Raw genomic sequence first — 23068 nt, forward strand, 5'->3', positions numbered from 1 at the left:
AATGATGACTAGAGCAAGGAGGAGAAATATTATTTGTTATAAGGCAAAAAAGGAACAGGGAGGGAGGGGAAAAAATAGAAAAGATAGGGAAAAACCTATCCACAGGGAATACATAGCACATAACGTTGCAATAATCTTGCTATTTCTATGCCTAGCTACTTATCTCAGGATAAATGACAAGGCAGCACGTCCTAAACCACTTTGTCATGATGAGCTGCCACAGGAATGATTTATTATATTCCATTATAACATGACTTTAAATCCCCCTCCTCAAATATAAATTTGAAAAATTACCCTTAATAGTTCTGCTGATGTTGGCCTTTCCTGAGGTATTTTCTGCAAGCAGTAATCAACAAATCTCCTAAAGGAGTCTGTCCTGTGTGTGCAAATACACAAAAGAAAATAAACTCAGGGTCTGTAGAGCACACTGATTACTTAAAACAATTTTCATTCAAGGGAAAATTTTGCATTTAAGGAGATTTTAAAAAAATGCTTTGGAATATCAGGATAACTGGAGCATTTTCAAGTTACGATATCTAAAATTCTTTTGGATAATGAGTGAGGACAAGTTTCAAGTTAGTCAACATATTAATACATCTTAATATATAAGGAAGGTCAAATCATAATATACATCAGAAAACAAAAATACTATGTTTAAATAAAAGTTTTATATACATTTTTCTCTCCAAAGACAACAATTCTCATAGTCTCAACTCTATATTCTTAATTACCAATTGTTAATTCCTCTACCACCCACAATCTATAACAAAGTAGTAAAATTTGAAGCATGAGGGATGGAGAACCCAGGAGTAGGCTTCCTGAACAAAAATTCTTCCTATCTTAAAAGTTCCATTTTATCCGTTCTTCTTTAATATTGCCCCTTTTAAAATAACTCTTGTGGCCCAAATAGTTATAAAAATGTCATACTTTTCAGCAAGGAACACTGTATCTGAATAGATAATGTATGCTCTGTCTCAACACATTTAAGTGTACATATAGTTTAAAAAAAAAAAAGACAACTGGAGAAATAATGACATCATAGAGGGCCCCTTATCTCTGCTGAGAAGTGATATCAGCTGAGATGATCAATACAAGACCATCATGACCTGGGACAATAGACTTGTTAGGAGGGTAGCAGGGCATGTTCCCTGCAGGATTTTGGTTACTAGACACATTAAGAACACAGTGCAAGCCATGGTGAAGGCAAAAATAAGAAAATCTATGCATGTGTGCATGTGTAGACAGTTGATGCTTGTGAGGCATCAGTGTCACTTGTAACAACATACAGTGAAGGAAAGAAATGCTTTCTAGGTCAGATATTTAAAATGTAATGTAATAAAAATGTCAAATACATACGGTGATTTTCTTAGAGATTTAAAATGATAGCAGAGTCTTACCATTCATTAGACTGTAACGTTGGGGAGTCATTCTGGGCAATGTGATATAAGGCACTCATTGCATTCATGTTGAAAAGGGGCGGCTTCCGTTCCGCTGGAAGAGGAAAGAAACACAATAAAGTAGTTCTTGAAGGAAACCAGGCAGACAGAGAAATAAGAAACTATGAGCAAAGCTTTGCGGCTAAATCAATAGCTCATTACTGTCATCATGCCACATAATCCACTTATTTTAATCTCTAAGGTTGGCCCAAGATAGCCATTCAGAAGAAGCTGCCGGACATTAAATGTACATTGGCAAAGCTCCTAACAGAACTCATTTCAAAAGAGTGAAAGAAAAGTTTTTTTCTTTTTTTCACATAGCTTCAAAAAATTGGCTTTTGCATATTTTCCCACAATAGGTATGAAGATCTTTGCATGTGCGTTTTAGCTCAAAAATATATATTCTCTCCTTGAAGTCTGGGTATTTGGTGAAAAAGAAAAAGAAAAAAATTCATATTCACTTAAAAAAGTCAGAAAGCAAAGAAACATAGAATAAGGAAAAAAGATTACTATAAAATGCAACTTTTTTTTTTTTTTTTGTGACGGAGTCTTGCTCTGTTGCTCAGGCTGGAGTACAGTGGCACGATCTGCAACCTCTGCCTCCTGGGTTCAAGTGATTCTCCTGCCTCAGCCTCCTGAGTAGCTGGGACTACAGGTGCCTGACATCGTGCATGGCTAATTTCTTTCTTTCTTTTTTTTTTTTTTTTGAGATGGAGTTTCGCTCTTGTTGCCCAGGCTGGAGTGCAATGGAACGATCCCAGCTCACTACAACCTCCGCCTCCCAGGTTCAAGCAATTCTCCTGCCTCAGCCTCCTGAGTAGCTGAGATTACAGGCATGAGCCACCATGCCCGGCTAATTTTGTATTTTTAGTAGAGATGGGGTTTCTCCACGTTGGTCAGGCTGGTCTTGAACTCCCAGCCTCAGGTGATCCACCCACCTCAGCCTCCCAAAGTGCTGGGATTACAGGCATGCGCCACTGCGCCCGGCCTAATTTTTGTATTTTTAGTAGAGAGGGGGTTTCCTTATATTGGCCAGGCTGGTCTCGAACTCCTGACCTCGTGATCCACCCGTCTTGGCCTCCAAAAGTGCTGGGATTACAGGCGTGAGCCACTGCACCCAGTCCCATAATGAAACATCTTAAACATCACTAACAAAATGGCCGGGCGCGGTGGCTCACGCCTGTAATCCCAGCACTTTGGGAGGCCGAGGCGGGTGGATCACGAGGTCAGGAGATCGAGACCATCCTGGCTAACACGGTGAAAGCCCGTCTCTACAAAAAAAAAAAAAAAAAAGAAATACAAAAAAATTAGCTGGGCATGGTGGCAGGCACCTGTAGTCCCAGCTACTCGGGAGGCTGAGGCAGGAGAATGGCATGAACCCGAGAGGCAGAGCTTGCAGTAAGCCAAGATCGCGCCACTGTACCCAAGCCTGGGTGACAGAGTGAGACTCTGTCTCAAAAGAACAACAACAACAACAAAAATCACTAACAGAGCATGAGAGATAAGCCAATTATATTCAGTAAATACTGTCTGATGCCTGATTCAGGCCAAATAATTGCTAGGGGTGACAGTAGAGAGAGAAATGGAAAGGAGGAAGAGAACTATAAATTATAAATAAAGTCTGGTCCATCCCACTCTAAAGAGAAACTCAGTGAGTCAGGCATTTATTTTTTAATTATTTATTTTTTGAGATGAGGACTTGCCCTGTTGCCCAGGCTGGAGTGCAGTGGCACAATCAGGGCTCACAATAGCCTTGACCTTTCAGGCTCATGAGATCCTCAACCTCTTGAGTAGCTGAGACTACAGGTGTGTGCCACCACGCTGGACTAATTTAAACAATTTTTTTTTTTTTTTTGTATAGAGGCTGGGCGCGTTGGCTGACACCTATAATCCCAACACTTTGGGAGGCCGAGGCCGGCAGATCACCTGAGGCCAGGAGTTCGAGACCAGCCTGGGCAACATGGTGAAAATTGTCTCTACTAAAAATACAAAATTAACCGGGCATGTTGGCACAAGCCTGTAATCCCACCTACTTGGGAGGTTGAGGCAGAAGAATCACTTGAACCCAGGAGGTGGAGGTTTCAGTGGGCTGAGATCGGCCCCTGCACTCCAGCCTGGGCAACAGAGTGAGACCCCGTCTTAAACCAGGCTGGTCTTGAACTTGTGGGCTCAAGCTATCCTCCTGCCTCAGCCTCCCAAAGTGCTGGGAGTATAGGCATGATGCACTGTATCTGGCCAGGTATTTCCTGGTAGAGGATTTACTCCTCCCCAGCCCACCACGATCTCTTTATTGGAACTCCTCCAACTCTCCCTTGGCATACTGGTCATTTGGCATGTGCTCACCTATCATATCTACATCATCATACAAATCTTTTCTCTCAAAAGAAATCATAAGCTCTAAGAGCACAAGATCTTATAACCTGAATATTCTTTTTCTTTTACTTATTCCCCCAGAATTTGTAATAAAATGTGATTCACATATTAGGGGTTCCATTTGTGGATCAAAGGAAAGAAACAAGGCTCTAGTTCTGAGTACAGTTAATTTTATGGTATTTATTAGTTGTTACGGAATAGAAGATAAATCACTATCAGGCCAGGCACGGTGGCTCACGCCTGTAATTCCAGCACTTTGGGAGGCTGAGGTGGGTGGATCACGAGGTCAGGAGATCGAGACCATCCTGGCTAACACGGTGAAACCCTGTCTCTACTAAAAATACAAAAAAATTAGCCAGGCGTGGTGGCGGGCACCTGTAGTTCCAGCTACTTGGGAGGCTGAGGCAGGAGAATGGCGTGAACCCAGGAGGCGGAGCCTGCAGTGAGCCGAGATCGTGCCACTGCACTCCAGCCTGGGCGTCAGAGTGAGACTCCATCTCAAAAAAAAAAAAAAAAAAAGAAAAAGAAAAGGAAGAGAAGAAGAAGATAAATCACTATCTCTTTCTACTGTGCTTACCCTAATGGATTTTTTATATAGTCTCACTTTCTAATTCATAATCTGATCTCTAGTTTCATCAGAGCACCTTAGTTTTTAAGTAAAGGCTCTTCTTCTATTAACCACTTCTAAAATGACAAATCGGGCTTATTCTATGCAGTTCAAAAAACAGAACAAGGCTAAGAGGTGAAGTTATAGAAAAGACATTTTCACTCACAGAAGGAAAAATTTGGACACAGCCAGAGTAGTTAAAACACAAAACAAGAAACCAGAATGGACAAGGTTGAAAAGTAGTAAACTTTAAGTCATTTAGTAGCACTTAAGCAGATGACAACTATACCTATTCATTTGTTATATTTTGGAGGGGCATCTTATAGTCTTGATTAAGTGATTTCTGTACCTCTGAAATACAGTAGTCTAGGCCAGGCATGGTGGCTCATGCCTACAATCCCAGAACTTTGGGAGACTAAGCGGGCAGATCACCTGAGGTCAGGAGTTCAAGACCAGCCTGGCCAACATGGTAAAACCCTGTCTCTACTAAAAATACAAAAGTTAGCTAGGCCTGGTGGCATGCGCCTGTAATCCCAGCTACTTGGGAGGCTGAGAGGAAAATCACTTGAACCCGGGAGGCGGAGGTTGCAATGAGCTGAGATCATGCCACTGCACTCCAGCCTGAGTGATGGAGTGAGACTCCATCTCAAAAATAAAAAATAAATTAAAAAAAATGAAATATAGTAGTCTCTCTCTATATATAGACAGTTAATTTTATGTATATATATGTATTTTATGTATATATGTATATGTATGTATGTATGTGTGTGTGTGTGTATACATATATATATATATATATATATATATATATATATATATATATATACACTTTTTTTTTTTTTTTGAGACGGAGTCTCGCTCTGTCACCAGGGTGGAGTGCAGTGGCGTGATCTAGGCTCACTGCAACCTCTGCCTCCAGGTTCAAGTGATTCTTCTGCCTCAGCCTCCCGAGTAGCTGGGACTACAGGCGCATGCCACCACGCCTCGCTAATTTTTTTGTATTTTTAGTAGAGACGGGGTTTCACCATATTAGCCAGGATGGTCTCGATTTCCTGACCTTGTGATCCGTCCGCCTTGGCCTCCCAAGTATTTTTTATTGACCTCTCAATAGGATACTTTATACTTACCAAACAGATACTGGTATTACAGTGATATGAACTGTTAACAAGTGGAAATTTGGAAGTTGCTGTGTGGTCGAATGGATTTATATCTGTTTCAAATGCAAAAGATTAAAAAAATCTGGTTTGGGTTTATTTTTCAGGGGGCAGATTTTAGAAAGTTTGCAGAGCTTGCTTTCTGGCAACTTCAAGTACAGTCATCCCTAGGTATCTGTGGGGGACTGGTTCCCGTTCCCCCCTGCATATACCAAAATCCATGGATCTCAAGTTTCCTATATAAAATGGCATAGTATTTGCATGTAACCTGCACACATCCTTCTGTCTGTATACTTTAAATCATCTCTAGATTACTTATGATATCTAGTGTAATGTAAATGTTATGTAAATAGTTATACCGCATTGTTTAGAAAATAATGAGAAGAAAAAAAGTCTATACATGTTCAGACTTGTATAGACATTTTCTTGTCATTATTTCCTAAACAATTTCCTATAAAGACTCAACCCTCCTTTTTTTTTCCTGAATATTTCTGATCTGTGGCTGATTGAATTCATGGATGTGGAACCCACAGATTTGGAGGACCAACCGTATTTAAAACCACGTGGAAGCCTGGCCAACATGGTGAAACCCCGTCTCTACTAAAAATACAAAATTAGCCAGGCCGTGGTGGCTTGTGCCTGTAATCCCAGCTACTTGGGAGGCTGAGGCAGGAGAATCACTTGAACTGGGAGGTGGAGGTTGCAGTGAGCCGAGATCACACCACTGCACTCCAGCCTGGGTGACAGAGTGAGACCTTGTCTCATAAATAAATAACTAAATAAATAAAACCACGTGGAACTAGGAACTCATCACGTAACCATCAATGGCTTCCCATCATTCTTAGGCCAAAGTCCAAATCCTTAAACATAGTCTCTTGGACTTCATTATCATGGGACTGGCTACTTCCAGAGCCCGATTCTGAGAAGTAACCTATTTTTCCCTCTCTCATGCTTTACGTGTGCTTCACTCAAAGAACCAAGCTCGGTGTTTTTCACAAATGCTGTTTTCTTGGTCTGGACACCCCTCTCCCTTTTGCTCCCTAAACTTTATCTGGGTACATCTTTTTGTGTATGTGTGTGTGTGTCGGGGTCTTGCTCTGTTGCCCAGGCTGGAGTGCAGTGGCGTGATCAGCTCATTGCAACCTCAAACTCATGGGCTCAAGTGATCCTCCTCCCTTAGCCTCCCAAAGTGCTAGTATTACAGGCTAATTCTCGACAATCCTTTCAGGTTTCATCTCAAATATAATTTCATTTCTACATGAATTTAATAAGTATGTATTCAGGATTCATTATGTGTTTATAATCACTTCCTCAGGGAAACCTTCCCTGACCTCTCAGACTAGGTCTCCTATTAGATTTTGTCATTGCAAATTATATTTTTTGCTTTCTTCCACATATCACAGCCCTAGTTATTTGTGTAATTTTTTTGAGACAGGGTCTTACTCTGTCACCCAGGCTGGAGGGAGTGCATCTCAGCTCACTGCAGCCTTGACCTCCTGGGCTCAGGTGATGTTCCCATTTCTGTCTCCTGAGTAGCTGGGATTATAGGCATGAGCCATTAAGTCCAGCTACTTTTTTGGCTTTTTTTTTTTTTTTTTTTTTTTTTTAGAGATGGGGTTTTGCTATGTTGCCTAGGCTGGTCTCAAACTCCTGGGCTCAAGCGATCTGCCCGCCCCAACCTCCCAAAGTGCTGGGATTATAGGCATGAGCGACCATGCCTGGCTTATTTGCATAATTATTTTCTTCCTTCCTTCTTTCCTCCCTCTCTCCAACCCTCCCCCCTTCCTTCCTTTCCTCCCTCTCTCTTTCTCACTCAAGCCATCCTTCTACCTCACCCTCCCTAGTAGCCGCAGCTACAGGCACACGTCACCATGCTTGGCTAATTTTTTTAAGGTTTTCGTAGACATAAAGTCTCATTATATTGCCCAAGCTTGTCTCAAACTCCCAGGCTCAGGCGATCCTCCCACCTTAGCCTCCCAAAGTGCTGGGATTAGAGGCATGAGCCACTGTGCCTAGCCTAGTTCTTTATTTAATGTGTGTCTTCTTTGCTAAACTTCATGAGGGCAGGAACAACATCTATCATGTTCATCTCTGCATTCTCAGTGCTGAGAACAGTACCTGGTACACAGCAGGTGGCCCCTAATACTTTTAAATAAATAAATGAAGGTGAGGGAAATTAAAGCACAGAATAAACTCTGTCAACAAACAAAGAATCTTTGTTCAGTAAGTAATTACAAAATTACAAAAATGACTGAGAAGACACTAAGTCTCGGGGCTCATGACAGATACTATTTGATGGCTTCATTCACTATTAGAAGGACCAGAACCCTCCCACTTACTGGCAAAAGGTTAAAAAAAAACAATCCCAGCTTCTCAGAACACTGAATTGCATAGGAGAAACAGTGAAACAGAAGGGAAAGGAGACTGAAGCAAGAGAAAAACAAATTTGAAAAGAAAAGGATGAAAGAACAAAAACACAAAGAAAACTCAGTTCAATAAAAGGCAGTGGCTTGGATTTGAAGCAGCAAAGAGAAGGCCTGTAAGTAGCAAGCACTCTGCCTAGGAACAAGCAGAAAAGATGGCTGACCATGTAATGGTAGAAGAAATAATTTTAATAGAGAAGCACATGACTAAAGGTACTCTAACCATAGAACAGCTCTATAGTCTGGGAAGCATTCTCTGAGTATTAGCTTCAAGTGATCTCATCTATGTTCAAGTCTTTGCTAGATGTAATAAATAAATCCTCTGAGCAATGGTGACAAGGCTCACTGCTGAGCCAGAATACTACAGAGCAAGGGCTGGCAAACTATGGCCCATGGGCCAAATTCAGCTATCAGCCTGCTTTTGTAAGTTTATTGGAACACAGCCATGCCTGTACATTAATGTATTGTCTATGACTGCTTTCATCCTCCAGCGGCAAAGTTGAGTAGTTATGATAGACATTAGATAGCTTCCAAAGCCTAAAATGCTTATTATCTGGTCCCTCACAGAAAGTTTGTCAATACTTATTGTAGAATATAGCAGTTTTCTTTTCTTTTTTTTTTCTTTTTTTGAGACAGAGTCTCGCTCTGTAGCAAAGGCTGGAGTGAAGAGGCATGATCTGGGCTCACTGTAACCTCCGCCTCCCAGGCTCAAGAGATTCTCCTGCCTCAGCCTCCTGAGTAGCTGGGATTACAGGCATGTGCCACTGTGCCCAGCTAATTTTTGTATTTTTAGTAGAGATAGGGTTTCTCCATGTTGGCCAGGTGGCTGGTCTCAAACTCCTGACCTCAGGTGAACCACCTGCCTCGGCCTCCCAAAGTGCAAAGTGCTGGGATTATAGGCATGAGCCACCGTGCCCAGCAAAATATAGTAGTTTGAATAAAGCTTCTTCTACATATGCAGCAGAATAGGAATTGGGAACGCTTCTGAAGAAGTCACCTTGTGATACGGAATACATATAACCTTTTTTTTTTTTTTTTTTGAGACAGAGTCTTGCTCTGTCATCCAGGCTGGAGTGCAGTGGCGCGATCTCAGCTCACTGCAAGCTCTGCCTCACAGGTTCACGCCATTCTCTTGCCTCAGTCTCCCGAGTAGCTGGGACTACAGGTGCCCGCCACCACGCCCGGCTAATTTTTTGTATTTTTAGTAGAGATGGGGTTTCACTGTGTTAGCCAGGATGTTCTTGATCTCCTGACCTCATGATCTGCCCGCCTCGGCCTCCTAAAGTGCTGGGATTACAGGCGTGAGCCACTGCGCCTGGCAGAATACATATATTCTTAAATGAAAGGAAAAAGGTAGAAGCATACAAACGTTGAGCTAGCTACATTAAAAGAAAAAACAGTAGTTTCCCTTTAACTTAGAGACAAAGATCAAGTTTCTGTGTATGATCAATCTCTGTCATGTAAGATCAAGGTTCAGGAAGGTCAGTTTGATCAAGTTTCTGGATACTGCTCTGCTTGGTAAAGAGTAAACTAAATTAGAGTGCCTACATGTATGTTTATCACAGCCCAATTTACAAACGGAAAGATATGGAATGAACCTAAGTGCCCACTGACCAAGGAGTAAATAAAGAAAATGTGGTGGCCAGGCGTGGTGACTCACGCCTATAATCCCAGCACTTTGGGAGGCCAAGGTCGGAGGATCACGAGGTCAAGAGATCGAGATGATCCTTGCTAACAGGGTGAAACCCCGTCTCTACTAAAAATACAAAAATTAGCTGGGTGTGGTGGCACGTGCCTGTAGTCCCAGCTACTTGGGAGGCTGAGGCAGGAGAATTGCTTGAACCCGGGAGGCGGTGGTTGCAGTGAGCTAAGATCATGCCACTGTACTCCAGCCTGGCGATGGAGTGAGACTCCCTCTCGAAAAAAAAAAAAGAAAGAAAGAAAATGTGGTATATATACACCATGGAGTACTACTCAGACAGAAAAAGTAATGAAATAATGTCTTTCTCAGTAACTTGAATGGAGCTGGAGGCAATTATTCTAAGAGAAGTAACTCAGGATTGGAAAACCAAACAGCATTATATTCTCACTTACAAGTGGGTGCTAAGCTATGAATACACAAAGGCATACAGAGGGATCTAATGGACTTTGGAGACTCAGAAGAGGAAGGGTAGGAGGGGGTGTGGGATAAAAGACTACGTATTGGGTACAATGTACAGTACTCAGGTGACAAGTGCACTAAAATCTCAGAATTCGCCACTATATAATTCATCCATGTAAACAAAAAAACACCTGCACTACAAAAGCTATTGAAATAAAAAAATGTAAAAAACAAAATAAAATAAATCAGAGTGTCTACTGGGCTTAATTTTACTAAGGAAAATGAAAGAGTACGCCTATCTTTAGATAAACACTACCTGAAAAGGTATAAGGGTTCTTTTCTTTCTTTCTTTTTTTTTTTTTTTTTTTTTTTTTGAGACGCAGTCTCGCACTGTCGCCTAGGCTGGAGTGCAGCGGCGTGATCTCGGCTCACTGCAAGCTCTGCCTCCCAGGTTCACGCCATTCTCCTGCCTCAGCCTCTCCGAGTAGCTGGGACTACAGGTGCCCGCCACCACGCCCGGCTAATTTTTTTGTATTTTTAGTAGAGACGGGGTTTCACTGTGGTCTCGATCTCCTAACCTCGTGATCCGCCCGCCTCGGCCTCCCAAAGTGCTGGGATTACAAGCGTGAGCCACCACGCCTGGCCATTTTTGAGGCAGAGTCTCGCTCTGTCGCCCAGGCTGGAGTACAATGGCGTGATCTTGGCTCGCTGCAATCTCTGCCTCCCGGGTTCACGCCATTCTCCTGCCTCAGCCTCCTGAATAGCTGGGACTACAGGCGCCCGGCACCACGTCTGGCTAATTTTTTGTATTTTTAGTAGAGACGGGGTTTCACCATGTTAGCCAGGATGGTCTCGATCTCCTGACCTCGTGACTCACCCACCTCGGCCTCCCAAAGTGTTGGGATTACAGGTGTGAGCCACCGCACCCGGCATTTTTTTTTTTTTTTTGAGACAGAGTCTCTCTTTGTCTCCCAGGCTGGAGTGCAGTGGTACAATCTTGGCTCACTGCAACCTCTGCCTCCTGGGTTCAAGCAATTCCCATGCATCAGCCTCCCAAGTAGCTGGGACTACAGGTGTGTGCCACTACACCTAATTTTTGCATTTTTAATAGAGACAGGGTTTTGCCATGTTGGCCAGGCTGCTCTAGAACTCCTGACCTCAAGTGATCTGCCCACTTTGGCCTCCCATAGTGCTGGAATTACAGGCATGAGTGGCCAAGCCCAGCCCATAAGGTTTCTTATGAACAAATATGGTTGAAAACCATAATAACTAATGATAACAAAATAATCGCTACCATTTACTGAATTCCTACTATATGCCAGGCACTCACTGCCTTAGGCATGTTACATATGTTATTCATAATTCTCAAAATAGCTTGTCAAGATAGGTATTATTTTTCCAGTTTCCCAACTGAAGAAACTGAGGTTCAGCTAAGTAACAAAACCAAATCACATAGTGTTTACGCTGAAATTTCAACCCAATCCTATGAGACTCCAAGGCCTGTGTTCTTTTTACTAGGCCATGGTATCTCTTCAATAACTCTGTACATTTTAAGGTAGATAGCACTAGAATTTCAAAATGAAAAGAAAAACTTTAGAAGACTAAATATAACCCCTTCTCCCCAACAACGATCATGGTATTCATTTATTAACAGATAAACTATAAGGGGCTAATGTATAAGAAGAAAATTCCAGGCAGAGAATCTATAACATTTATGTTTGTGTTTTGTTCTTTCCTGGAGAACTTATTTCTGGACACAATCCATTCCCTGACAGTGCCGACAGACTATTTGCCAGTTTCTACCATAACCTTTGTTGGTGAACTAAATGCCTGTAGTTTAAACAGAAGAGAACCAAGATTAACTTCTCCTGAATGTAATCCTGAAAAATAAAATATCTGGTGACTGGACAATTTCAACCTCCAAGAGTTTTAACTAGTCCTTTCAACAGGAGATCAATTTACCCAAAGATAATTTATAAAACAGGATTAAACACTTAGGAGCTGTAAAGTTTGATCTTTAGGAAAGAAGGACAGTGTCAGTAACACTATCATCATCCTGCTTTTTGATGCCATCCCAGCAATTCAACTTCTAGATTAGGGTGTTTTTAAAAAAATATATACTATTATAGAAGAGACAGACACCATAAAGAAAGGGGATAACAAGCTATTATGGAAGAGAGAGATATCAGAACAAAAGGGAACAGGACTATCCACAACTTTCCATGTAATTTCGATGTTAAAAGTACAACTTGGGCTGGGCAAGGTGGCTCATGCCTGTAATCCCAGCACTTTGGGAGGCTGAGGTGGGTGGATCACCTGAGATCAGAAGGTTGAGACCAGCCTGGGTAACATGGTGAAATTCTGTCTCTACTAAAAATATAAAAATTAGCCGGGAGTGGTGGTGGGTGCCTGTAATCCCAGCTACTCGGGAGGCTGAGGCAGGAGAATCACTTGAGTCCAGGGGGTGGAGGTTGCAGTGAGCCAAGATCGCGCCATTGCACTCTAGCCTGGGTGACAAGTGCGAGACTGTCTCAAAAAAAAAAAAAAAAAAAAAAGATACAACTTAAAAATATACTATTGGTATTAACAGTTAGAATTTCATTATGCCCCAAACATACAGAAAATAGCAAAATCATTGCTTAGGGAATATTTGAAACAGTTTAACCTTTGTCTTGCATGTAAAAAAAAAAAAAAATACCCTTCTTTTACATGTCCATTAGCAAAATTAATGCTAGGGAGATGAAAATGTATGATAAAGCTGTCAAAGAGATACTTGTATGACTTATTACATTACTGATATAATAATTTTCAAGTAATTGCTGAGAAATTAAATGTTCTTGGTAATAATTTTATTTTGTGAATATTTACTGACCATCTACAATCACATTTCTTTGAGTCTGAGATGTCATTGACTGTAAGGTGTACTACCGTTAAATATTCACCACGATTTTATAATATGTATAACAGAAAAAATGCTGCCAACTATAAGAGGCTGTTGCCTATAAAATACCTCCTACTTTAAAAAAGTTATTTCCTTGTTTTTGACAAAATTGTATATATTTAAGGTGTACAATGTGATGTTTTGATGTTCATATACATTGATTAATCACAATCTGTCCATCGCCTCATATAGTTACTATTTTTTTTTGTTGTAGGAACATTTAACATCATTTACTCTCTCAGCAATTTCAACTTTCAATGCATTTTACCATGTTGCTTCCTAGTGTTAAAGAGATGTTAAAATGGGCTGGCATGATGGCTTGCGCCTATAATCCCAACACTTTGGGAGGCCGAGGTGGGTGGATCATTTGAGATCAGGAGTTTGAGACTAGCCTGGCCAACAAGGTAAAACTCCGTCTCTACTAAAAATACAAAAATTAGGCCGGGTGCGGTGGCTCACGCCTGTAATCCCAGCACTTTGGGAGGCCGAGGCGGGCAGATCACAAGGTCAGGAGATCGAGACCATCCTGGCTAACATGGTGAAACCCCGTCTCTACTGAAAATACAAAAAAATTAGCCAGGCGTGGTGGCGGGCACCTGTAGTCCCAGCTACTCAGGAGGCTGAGGCAGCAGAATGGTGTGAACCCGGGAGGCGGAGCTTGCAGTGAGCTGAGATTGCGCCACTGCACTCCAGCCTGGGCGACAGAGCGAGACTCCGTCTCAAAAAAAAATTAGCCGGGCGTGGTGGCAGGCGCCTGTAGTACCAGCTATTCGGGAGGCTGAGGCAGGAGAATCGCTTGAACCCGGGAACTAGACGTTGCAGTGAGCCGAGATCGTGCCACTGCACTCCAGCCTGGTGACAGAGCGAGACTCCGTCTAAAAAAAAAAAAAAAAAAAATTTACAGACTTGAGATAATTTGACCAAAGTCAGACAACTACAAAATGGCAGAATAAGAACTGAAGTTTATCTGACTGCAGAGTCTATGCTCTTTAGCACAATTTGACACTATCACTTATCAATTTGCAGAAATAGCTGTCATAGAGGATTAGACAATTTGGGAGAAGGCTACTTTGTCCTTTAGTTCAGTAAATCATTTTATAAAATGCAATCAAAGGCTGATACAGAGAGCATGTAGTTATACATATTTCAATTCATTTTTATAAGAAGGTAAAATCAGAAAGCACATATAAGGGGCTGTCTTAAGAGAGGAAGCACTAAGGTATCTCTTGGGGTCTGTACTTGTGTCCAATGTCAACTGCTGTTGACATTTTAGTCATTTACATGTACACGGTACAAAATCTGATGTGATGATGATCTTGAATCATCATAAAAGGGTATATGTAGTTTGTACAATTGAAGAAGATTGGAAAGGGAAGAATCCATGTCAAATTTCGGAAAGATTTTGGTAAGAAAAAAACTTGTTAAGAAAAAACTTGGTAAGAAAAAACTAGTTAAAAAATGGGTAGGCACTAACAGTAAAATTCAACACAAGTGGCACATTCTTTTAAAAGATCGTAACTGAGGTGTTGCTATGATGGTCTCAGTGTTATAAGGAAAATTTTGGTTTATTTTTATAAAATATTACTTTTATATTTTAATATAATATAAAATTATGTTATAATTTTATAATATAAATTTATATATAAAATATAAATATATAAAATATAAAATATCTGTGTTATAAGTAAAATATAAAATAAGTAATATTTTATAAGAATAAACCAAAATTTTACTTATAACACTGAGACCATTGTAGCAACTCCTCAGTTATGACCCTAAAGGTACTATGACCTCTAAAAGTAGCATAATTTTATATGGCCTAAAACATAAATTACAAAAAACAAAAAACAATCCTATATATGAATACAATTAACTGTTACTGAGCACTTGCTATATGCCAGGCACTATGCTAAATACTTTACCTAAGTTATCTTATTGAAGCCTGTAAATATCTATGATATATCCATTGTTATTTTTACTTAGATGAGAAACTGAGGATTAGGGAAGTTAACAAAATGATCCATGATCACACAGTCAGAATCAATATGTTACACAGTCCCAGGAGGGATCATCTGCATCCCAGACTATGTGAATGCCTGATGGCATTATGTTACAGCCACACATGGTGGTCCTGCCAGCTAAGTGCTGGTAAAGCCAAGATTCACATCTAGGGTGTCTAATTCTAAAACTTACTCCATACTGCTAACTCTATGCTATGCACAGAGTAGTTTTGTTCCCCCAAAGGAATATATATTTACTTCTAATTTTTGAAAAGTTCAATTATTCAATATTTAAAATGTGTAAAATTTTGTAGAATATTATAACAGACACCTATCACTTAGATTTATTATAATCTTGTCATATTTGTTTCAGGTCCTTTTTCTTCTAAAAAAATAAGAAAGTAGATACAGCTCTATTTGCCTTCCTTTCTCCAGTGTTTACTGTTCTAGAATTATATCTTTACAACTGTATTCTTATGTTTTATTAGTATATATACTCTTTTTTTTTTTTTTTTGAGATGGAGTTTTGCTCTTGTCGTCCAGCTGGAGTGCAATGGTACGGTCTTGGCTCACTGCAACCTCCGCCTTCTGGGTTCAAGCAATTCTCCTGTCTCAGCTTCCCAAGTAGCTGGGATTACAGGCATGCACCACCATGCCCAGCTAATTTTTGTATTTTTAGTAGAGATGGGGTTTCGGCATGTTGGTCAGGCTGGTCTCAAACTCCTGACCTCAGGTGATCCATCTGCCTTGGCCTCCCAAAGTGCTGGGATTACAAGCGTGAGCCACTGCGCCTGGCCAGTATATATATAGTTTTAACAATATATAAAAGAACTTATAAAATTTTCATAACTGGCATCAAACCATCCTTGTACTTTTGCAATTTTATTTGTTCACCAAATATTCAATGTTATGATTTTGAGATTTATCCATGATGATACATGTAGATCCAGTTCATTCTTAACTATGATACAGTATTCCATAATTTATACATTCTCCTTTGGATAAGAATTTAGGCTAGTTCTACCTTTTCTGGCTACTATAAAAACAGTTGCACCCTTGTACACATTTTCCAGTGTGTATGCATACGGAGTTCTTCCTTCCTTGGCAGCTTCTCCAAATTTATTATTCGAGGACTTGAAATTCTTGCCAGTCTCATAAATGTGAAATTGTTTCAAATTGCATTTCTCTGATTACTAATGAGGCTTAGTGTCTTCTGATGTTTGTTTTCCATTTAGGTTTCCTCTTCAATGAATTGCTTAATCATATTCCTTTTTATTTTTATTTGAGATAGGGTCTTACTCCCATCACCCAGACTACAGTGCAGTGGCGTGATCATGGCTCACTGCGGCCTTGACTTCCTGGGTTCAGGTGATTCTCCTACCTCAGCTTCACTTAATCATATTCCTTACCCATTTCTCTACTGGTTGTTTGGCTTTTTCTTTTTTTTCCTTTTTTTTTTGGGGGGGACAGAGTTTCGATCTTGTTGCCCAGGCTGGAGTGCAGTGGCGCAATCTCGGCTCACTGCAACCTCCGCCTCCCAGGTTCAGATGATTCTCTTGCCTCAGCCTCCCTAGTAGCTGGGATTATAGGCGTGCATCACCACACACAGGTAATTTTGTAATTTTAGTAGAGGTGGGGTTTCACCACGTTGGCCAGGCTGGTCTCAAACTCTTGACCTCAGGTGATCTGCCCACCTTGGCCGCCCAAAGTGCTGGGATTACAGGCATGAGCCACCGCATCTGGCCAGCTTTTTCTTTTTCAGAAAGAAATTGTAGGAGTTATTTATAAATTTTGGACCAATACTTTGTTGGTTAAATGTATTTCAACTACCTTCTCCTAGTCCATAGCTTGTCTTTTAATGTTTGTGCTTTACATGGTTTTATATTTTAAAGTAGTAAAAGTTATGATATTTATCATTATGTTTTAAAAAACATTGATTAGAAAAGGTCTTCATTATACTAGTAAAAGTATTTTAGAGTAATAATAATAACACTAGGCCGGGCCTGGTGGCTCACGCCTGTAATCCCAGCACTTTGGAAGGCTGAGGCGGGTGGATCACAAGGTCAGGAGATTGAGACCATCCTGGCTAACACGATGAAACCCCGTCTCTACTAAAAATACAAAAAATTAGCCAGGCGTGGCGGCATGCACCTGTAGTCCCAGCTACTAGGGAGCCTGAGGCAGGAGAATCACTTGAACCTGGGAGGTGGAGGTTGCAGTGAGCTAAGAGCACACCACTGCACTCTAGCCTGGGAGACAGAGCGAGACTCTGTCTTAAAAAAAAATAATAATAACACTTACATAGTGCTTATTACATGCCAGGCCATGTTCTAAGCATATAATAGATATTAATTAATCTTCATAACAACCCCACAAAGTGGGTACTATCATTATTTCTATTTTACAGATGAGGAAACTGAGGCATTGGGGGGCTTCTTCTAAATGTTTAAAGTTTTACTTTTGGGCATTTAACCAATCTAAAATTTATTTTTGTGTATGACATAGCTAGGAATCCAGTTTTAGTTTTATCATATAATTAACACATTTCTCAGTATTATTTACCAAATGAGCCATCATTTCCCCATTGATCTGTAACGGCTTTTGTGTCTTATACCAAAATCTGACTCATACTAGAGTTTCCTAGTCTGTTCTACTGGATACTAGTCTTTCCCTGCAACAATACCATATGGATTTAATTAATATGGTATGGATTCTGGGGCAGTGATTCTTCTGTTCAAATTCTATTTCTCCAAAGTTGTTTTAGCTAATTTTGGTCCTATGACTTCTGGGATTACCCTGTGAAGTGTTTTTTTTTTTTTTTTTTTTTTTTTTTTTGAGACAGAGTCTTGCTCTGTCACCCAGGCTGGAGTGCAGTGGTGCGATCTCTCACTGCAAGCTCTGCCTCCCAGGTTCACACCGTTCTCCTGCCTCAGCCTCCCGAGTAGCTGGGACTACAGGCACCCACCACCACACCTGGCTAATTTTTTTGTATTTTTAGTAGAGACGGGGTTTCACCTTGTTAGCCAGGATGGTCTCGATCTCCTGACCTCGTGATCCGCCCGCCTCGGCCTCCCAAAGTGCCGAGATTATAGGCGTGAGCCACCACGCCCAGCCTACCTTGTGAACTTTTACGTAGTATTGTGGGAAGTTCGTTATAAGCCCTTTTTAAAACATGCAAATATTTCTGCTGAGTGGCCCCCAAAATCAGTATGAATAACTTTGATCAATTTCCTTTGGAGTGAAATAAACAGTAGTACCATATTATAACCTAAAAAAGAAATTCATCAACTCAATATCCATCAATACAAGACCAGTTAAATAAACTATGGTATATCATGTAATGGAATAACATGATGCCATTAAAATGATGAAAAACATGTCTAAGTTAGTCATAGAAAACAGATCTCCAAGATATTATTAAGTGAAAAACCAAAGTACAGAACCACATATATACGTTACCTTGGGTGTGAAAACGAATATAGGAAGTGTATATTCATGTTTGTTTGTATATTTACCAAGAAGATCTGGAAGGACACACCAATTAATAAAGTGGTTCCCTGCGTGTGTTGGCAGGGGTGGTGTAGGAACTGTGTAGATAGGGCAGGGGTGGAAGAAGATCTTTCACTGTATGTCTTTTTATGTTTTCTGATTTACAAACCTTGTGATTCTGCTACCTAATTGAAAAAAATAATATTCAAATTTTCCTCCAGGAATTCTTTTTTTTTTTTAATTAATACTTCTTTAATGTAAAAAAAAAATCCAGATAAATTGTGCATCTTTATCATATGTTGTTTTGTCGGAAGGGGTCAATGAAACATTGGCAATGTAATATAAAGTATCCCAAGTTGGCCTAACATTTTAGGAAAAGAGAAGACCATAGTCTGTGAATCAAACTAGAACTCAGAAATACTTATAGGATCAATTTGGAAACCTTAATAGAATTACATGAAATTAATATCTTAAAAAATTAGACAAAGAATTTTTTTAGGCCAGGCACAGTGGCTCATGCCTGTAATCCCAGCACTTTGGGAGGCCGAGGCGGGTGGATCATCTGAAGTCAGGAGTTCAAGACCAGCCTGACCAACATGGCAAAACCCCATCTCTATTAAAAACACAAAATTAGCCAGGCGTGGTGGTGCATGCCTGTAATCCCAGCTACTTGGGTGGCTGAGGCAGGAGAATCGCTTGAACCCAGAAGAGAGAGGCTGTAGTGAGCCAAGATTGCACTGCTGCAATGCAGCCTGGGTAACAGAGCAAGATTGTGTCTCAAAAAAAAAAAGAAAAAAAGAAAAAAAAGAATTTTTTAAAAACTGATTTTTTAAAAAGTTTAACATTTTTGATTTAAAATTTATGAAAATATGTAGATAAAGGCAGTATTATGCTGTAGCTAGCACATACTGGCTTTGGAAGGCCCATTGTGCACATCTTTCCCCATTTTCACATTTAGTGAATAGCATTGGCTATAGTAAGAGTATTTACATCATGGAAATTGGCAAAGCTACAAATCAAGGCCTTTTCCCCTCTCCACAAGAGATTGATTTGTTAAATTTACCAGTATACCACTGGATAGAAGTAAGCTTAAGATATATTAAAGTTCAAAATATACAACCAAAGGAGAGATTCTGTGGCACTTTAGACAATGTTAGATAACTGTAACAATATTTGGGGAATAACTTAATGGCTGAAGTTTATCTTATAACACAAAGTTTTCTTCACAGTTGTGCTCTACATGGGTCAAATACAGTTTTAGAGTCAGATCCCTGATAAGCTTTCTATTACTTTTTCAGATTTCCCTAATACAAGTTGGAGTATAAATTAAGGTAATGGGAACTCCCATAAAGGTAGGACATATATTATCATTCATAGTATGGAGAATGGATATTTTTCATATATTACTATGTGCTATTTTGTATTTCATTTGTTAACTGCCATATCTGCTTCAACTCCTTCAATTAAATTAATAACATGAGACTGGGTGTGGTGTCTCACATCTATAATCCCAGTGCTTTGGGACCTCGAGGCAGGCAGATCACTTGAGGTTAGGAGTTTAAGACCAGCCTGGCCAACACAGCAAAACCCTGTCTCTACTAAAATACAAAAATTAGCCAGCCTTGGTGGCAGGTGCCTATAATCCCAGGCACTCAGGAGGCTAAAGGAGGAGAATTGCTTGAACTTAGGAGGTGGAGGTTGCAATGAGCCGAGATTGTGCCACTGCACTCCAGCCTGGGTAACAGAGTAAGACTCTGTCTCAAAAAAAATAAATAAATAAATCATGCTGCTATAAAGACACATGCACACGCATGTTTATTGTGGCACTATTCACAATAGCAAAGACTTGGAACCAACCCAAATGTCCAACAAAGATAGACTGGATTAAGAAAATGTGGCACATATACACCATGGAATACTATGCAGCCATAAAAAATGATGAGTTCATGTCCTTTGCAGGGACATGGATGAAACTGGAAACCATCATTCTCAGCAAACTATCGCAAGGACAAAAAACCAAACACCGCATGTTCTCACTCATAGGTGGGAATTGAACAATGAGAACACATGGACACAGGAAGGGGAACATCACAATCCGGGGCCTGTTGTGGGGTGGGGGGAGGGGGGAGGGATAGCATTAGGAGATATACCTAATGTTAAATGACGAGTTAATGGATGCAGCACACCAACATGGCACATGTGTACATATGTAACAAACCTGCACATTGTGCACATGTACCCTAAAACTTAAAGTGTAATAATAATTAAAAAATTAAAATAAATAAATAAATACATAAATAAATAAATAAAAATAAGAACATGAAAATGTAGCAGAGAGAAAGCAATCTGTGTTATGAGTATAAAAAAATCTAATAAATTCGCATTGCCTAGCACACATATACCAGTAACTCATTAAGTAATAGCCAGATGAATAACTCCTAATCATTATGATTCTTAAAAATACAATGAAAATTCATCTGCAAAATAGAATTTTAAAAAATACAATGAAAACAAATAACTCTTTACTCACCCAATTCAATACAAGTGATGCCAAGTGACCAAATATCAACTTTCCCATCATACTGTCCTTCATCCATAGCTAAGATCACCTCTGGAGCCATCCTACCAAACATAAGGTACAAAACTCAAGTTGGAGATTAAAAACAAAATTTCTCCAGGAAAGTGATTCAATGAAATAGCTGTTCTTAAGGGTATTCTGAAATTTTATCTGATATAGATATTATTTCCTTACACAAATAATTTTGAAAAACACTATTCAAAATATAATCTACTTGGTGATTTACATGACACAGTATATTATTTTCAATAAAGACTGGCTCCACCCCTTACTATCAGTTTGATCTTAGGGAAGTTACTTAACCTATCTGTACATCAGTTTCTTCATCTGTAAAATGGAGATAATTCTCATAGCAACTTTACAGAGATTTGTAAAGGATGAATATACATAAAGTACTTAAATAATTACTTTGGAACATCTGATTATATTGCTTTATATAGTTCCATAAAGTATTTTTCATATTGTTTAAAGTAATTAAATAAAGCAGGAAATTTTTTTTTTTTTTTTTTTTTTTTTTTTTTTTTTGAGACGGAGTCTGGCTCTGTCGCCCAGGCTGGACTGCAGTGGTGCAATCTCAGCTCACTGCAAGCTCCGCCTCCCAGGTTCATGCCATTCTCCTGTCTCAGACTCCCGAGTAGCTGGGACTACAAGTAGCTGGGACTACAGGCGCCTGCCACCATGCCTGACTAATTTTTTGTATTTTTAGTAGAGACGCGGTTTCACCATGTTAGCCAGGATGGTCTCGATCTCCTGACCTCGTGATCCACCCGCCTCGGACTTCCAAAGTGCTGGGATTACTGGCGTGAGCCACCGCGCCTGGAGTCTTTTTTTGTTGTTGTTGTTGAGAGTCTTACTTTGTAGCCCAGGTTGGGGTGCAGTGGCGCCATCTTGGCTTACTGCAGCCTCTACCTCCTGGGTTCAAGCGATTCTCATGCCTCAGCCTCCCGAGTAGCTGGGATTACAGGCATAGGCCACCACACCTGGCCATATTCTTTTAAAATAATTAAACAACATGAAAAATACTTTATGGAGCCATATAAAGCAATATAATCAGCTGTTCCAAAGATACTAAAACCTACAAAAACCCTAGGTTGTAGTAATGGATGTTACTTTACTTGTTTGTCCATAATGCATCTTCATTAGGAGGGCAGGGGCCCTATCTGTTTAATATGCTTTGAACAGAACTGTACTCTATTATGATGTGTAAGCAGTTGCTTAGTAAATGTTATTTGGTGATAGAAAAAAATTCAAAGACTAGCTGATTTTTTTTAGTAGACAAGTAATTTTGCAGAGATCTAAGTCATTCTGTAAGGCATAATGAAATTCCAACGTGTCTAGGAAAGGAAGGAAAATAATCTGGAAAAGAATAGGGTGAAAAACTCTGAGCCAGACTGACAAGCTAGGTAACCTATCAGAACTCAACAAAGACAAGAACTTGGATTTCTTTCACTGAAAGGTACCATCTCTGCTTGTTGGCTAGTCAGGGAAGGTGAAAGAAGCTGCCCTGTCCTTACCTGGAGGCTTTGCCTCAAGAGAAAAGTTCAAAAGAAACTGCAAATGAAATCGAAAACCTGAACTTGGTCAGTGAATTGATAATCCTGCTCAGTTTACACACAGTGACACCAACCTTAACTACACAATTTAAAGTCATTGTAAATTTTATACAAAGCCAGAGTGTTTCTTTTTATGCCAGTGGGCTTTCTATCCTTCTCAAATGAAACCTCGTTTTGAGGCATATTGGTAAGACACTGTCACAAAACCAAGCCAAACCAGCACCATAGTTGAGTTCATGTATGCAGATTTTAAAACTATGTCATATAGCCTAATTCTACATACCAGTAAGGTGTGCCCACGAAGGAGTTGGCAGGAGAAGCCATTGAAGCAGATCCAAAATCAGCTAGTTTTACCTGACCTGGCTCTGTTAGAAGAATATTTCCTGCTTTAATATCCCTATAGGAAAAAAAAA

At 40.0% G+C, this 23068-nt stretch overlaps 1 protein-coding gene across 8 annotated transcripts in view, besides 1 other annotated feature; it reads right to left on the reverse strand.

Annotated features, from left to right (window-relative positions):
- Positions 1-23068, reverse strand: part of TAOK3 (TAO kinase 3) — a 223107-nt gene that overhangs the window by 62819 nt on the left and 137220 nt on the right. For all 8 annotated transcript variants that reach the window (NM_016281.4, NM_001346487.2, NM_001346493.2 and 5 more), the window contains 4 exons: positions 22939-23052; positions 21055-21146; positions 1398-1491; positions 295-376 (listed from right to left, as the gene is read on the reverse strand). In NM_016281.4, coding sequence (NP_057365.3) covers positions 295-376; positions 1398-1491; positions 21055-21146; positions 22939-23052 — 382 coding nt within the window. The remainder of the gene's footprint in view (positions 1-294; positions 377-1397; positions 1492-21054; positions 21147-22938; positions 23053-23068) is intronic.
- Positions 16088-16589: an enhancer, noted in NCBI's record as "NANOG hESC enhancer chr12:118666512-118667013 (GRCh37/hg19 assembly coordinates)". NCBI's record gives its function as "activates a minimal SCP1, AML or CMV promoter by ChIP-STARR-seq in primed H9 embryonic stem cells {active_cell/tissue: H9 hESC(primed)}" and the evidence as "EXISTENCE:reporter gene assay evidence [ECO:0000049][PMID:30033119]".

The sequence above is a fragment of the Homo sapiens genome, chromosome 12 (genome assembly GCF_000001405.40).
Source record: "Homo sapiens chromosome 12, GRCh38.p14 Primary Assembly".
Classification (NCBI taxonomy): domain Eukaryota; kingdom Metazoa; phylum Chordata; class Mammalia; order Primates; family Hominidae; genus Homo; species Homo sapiens.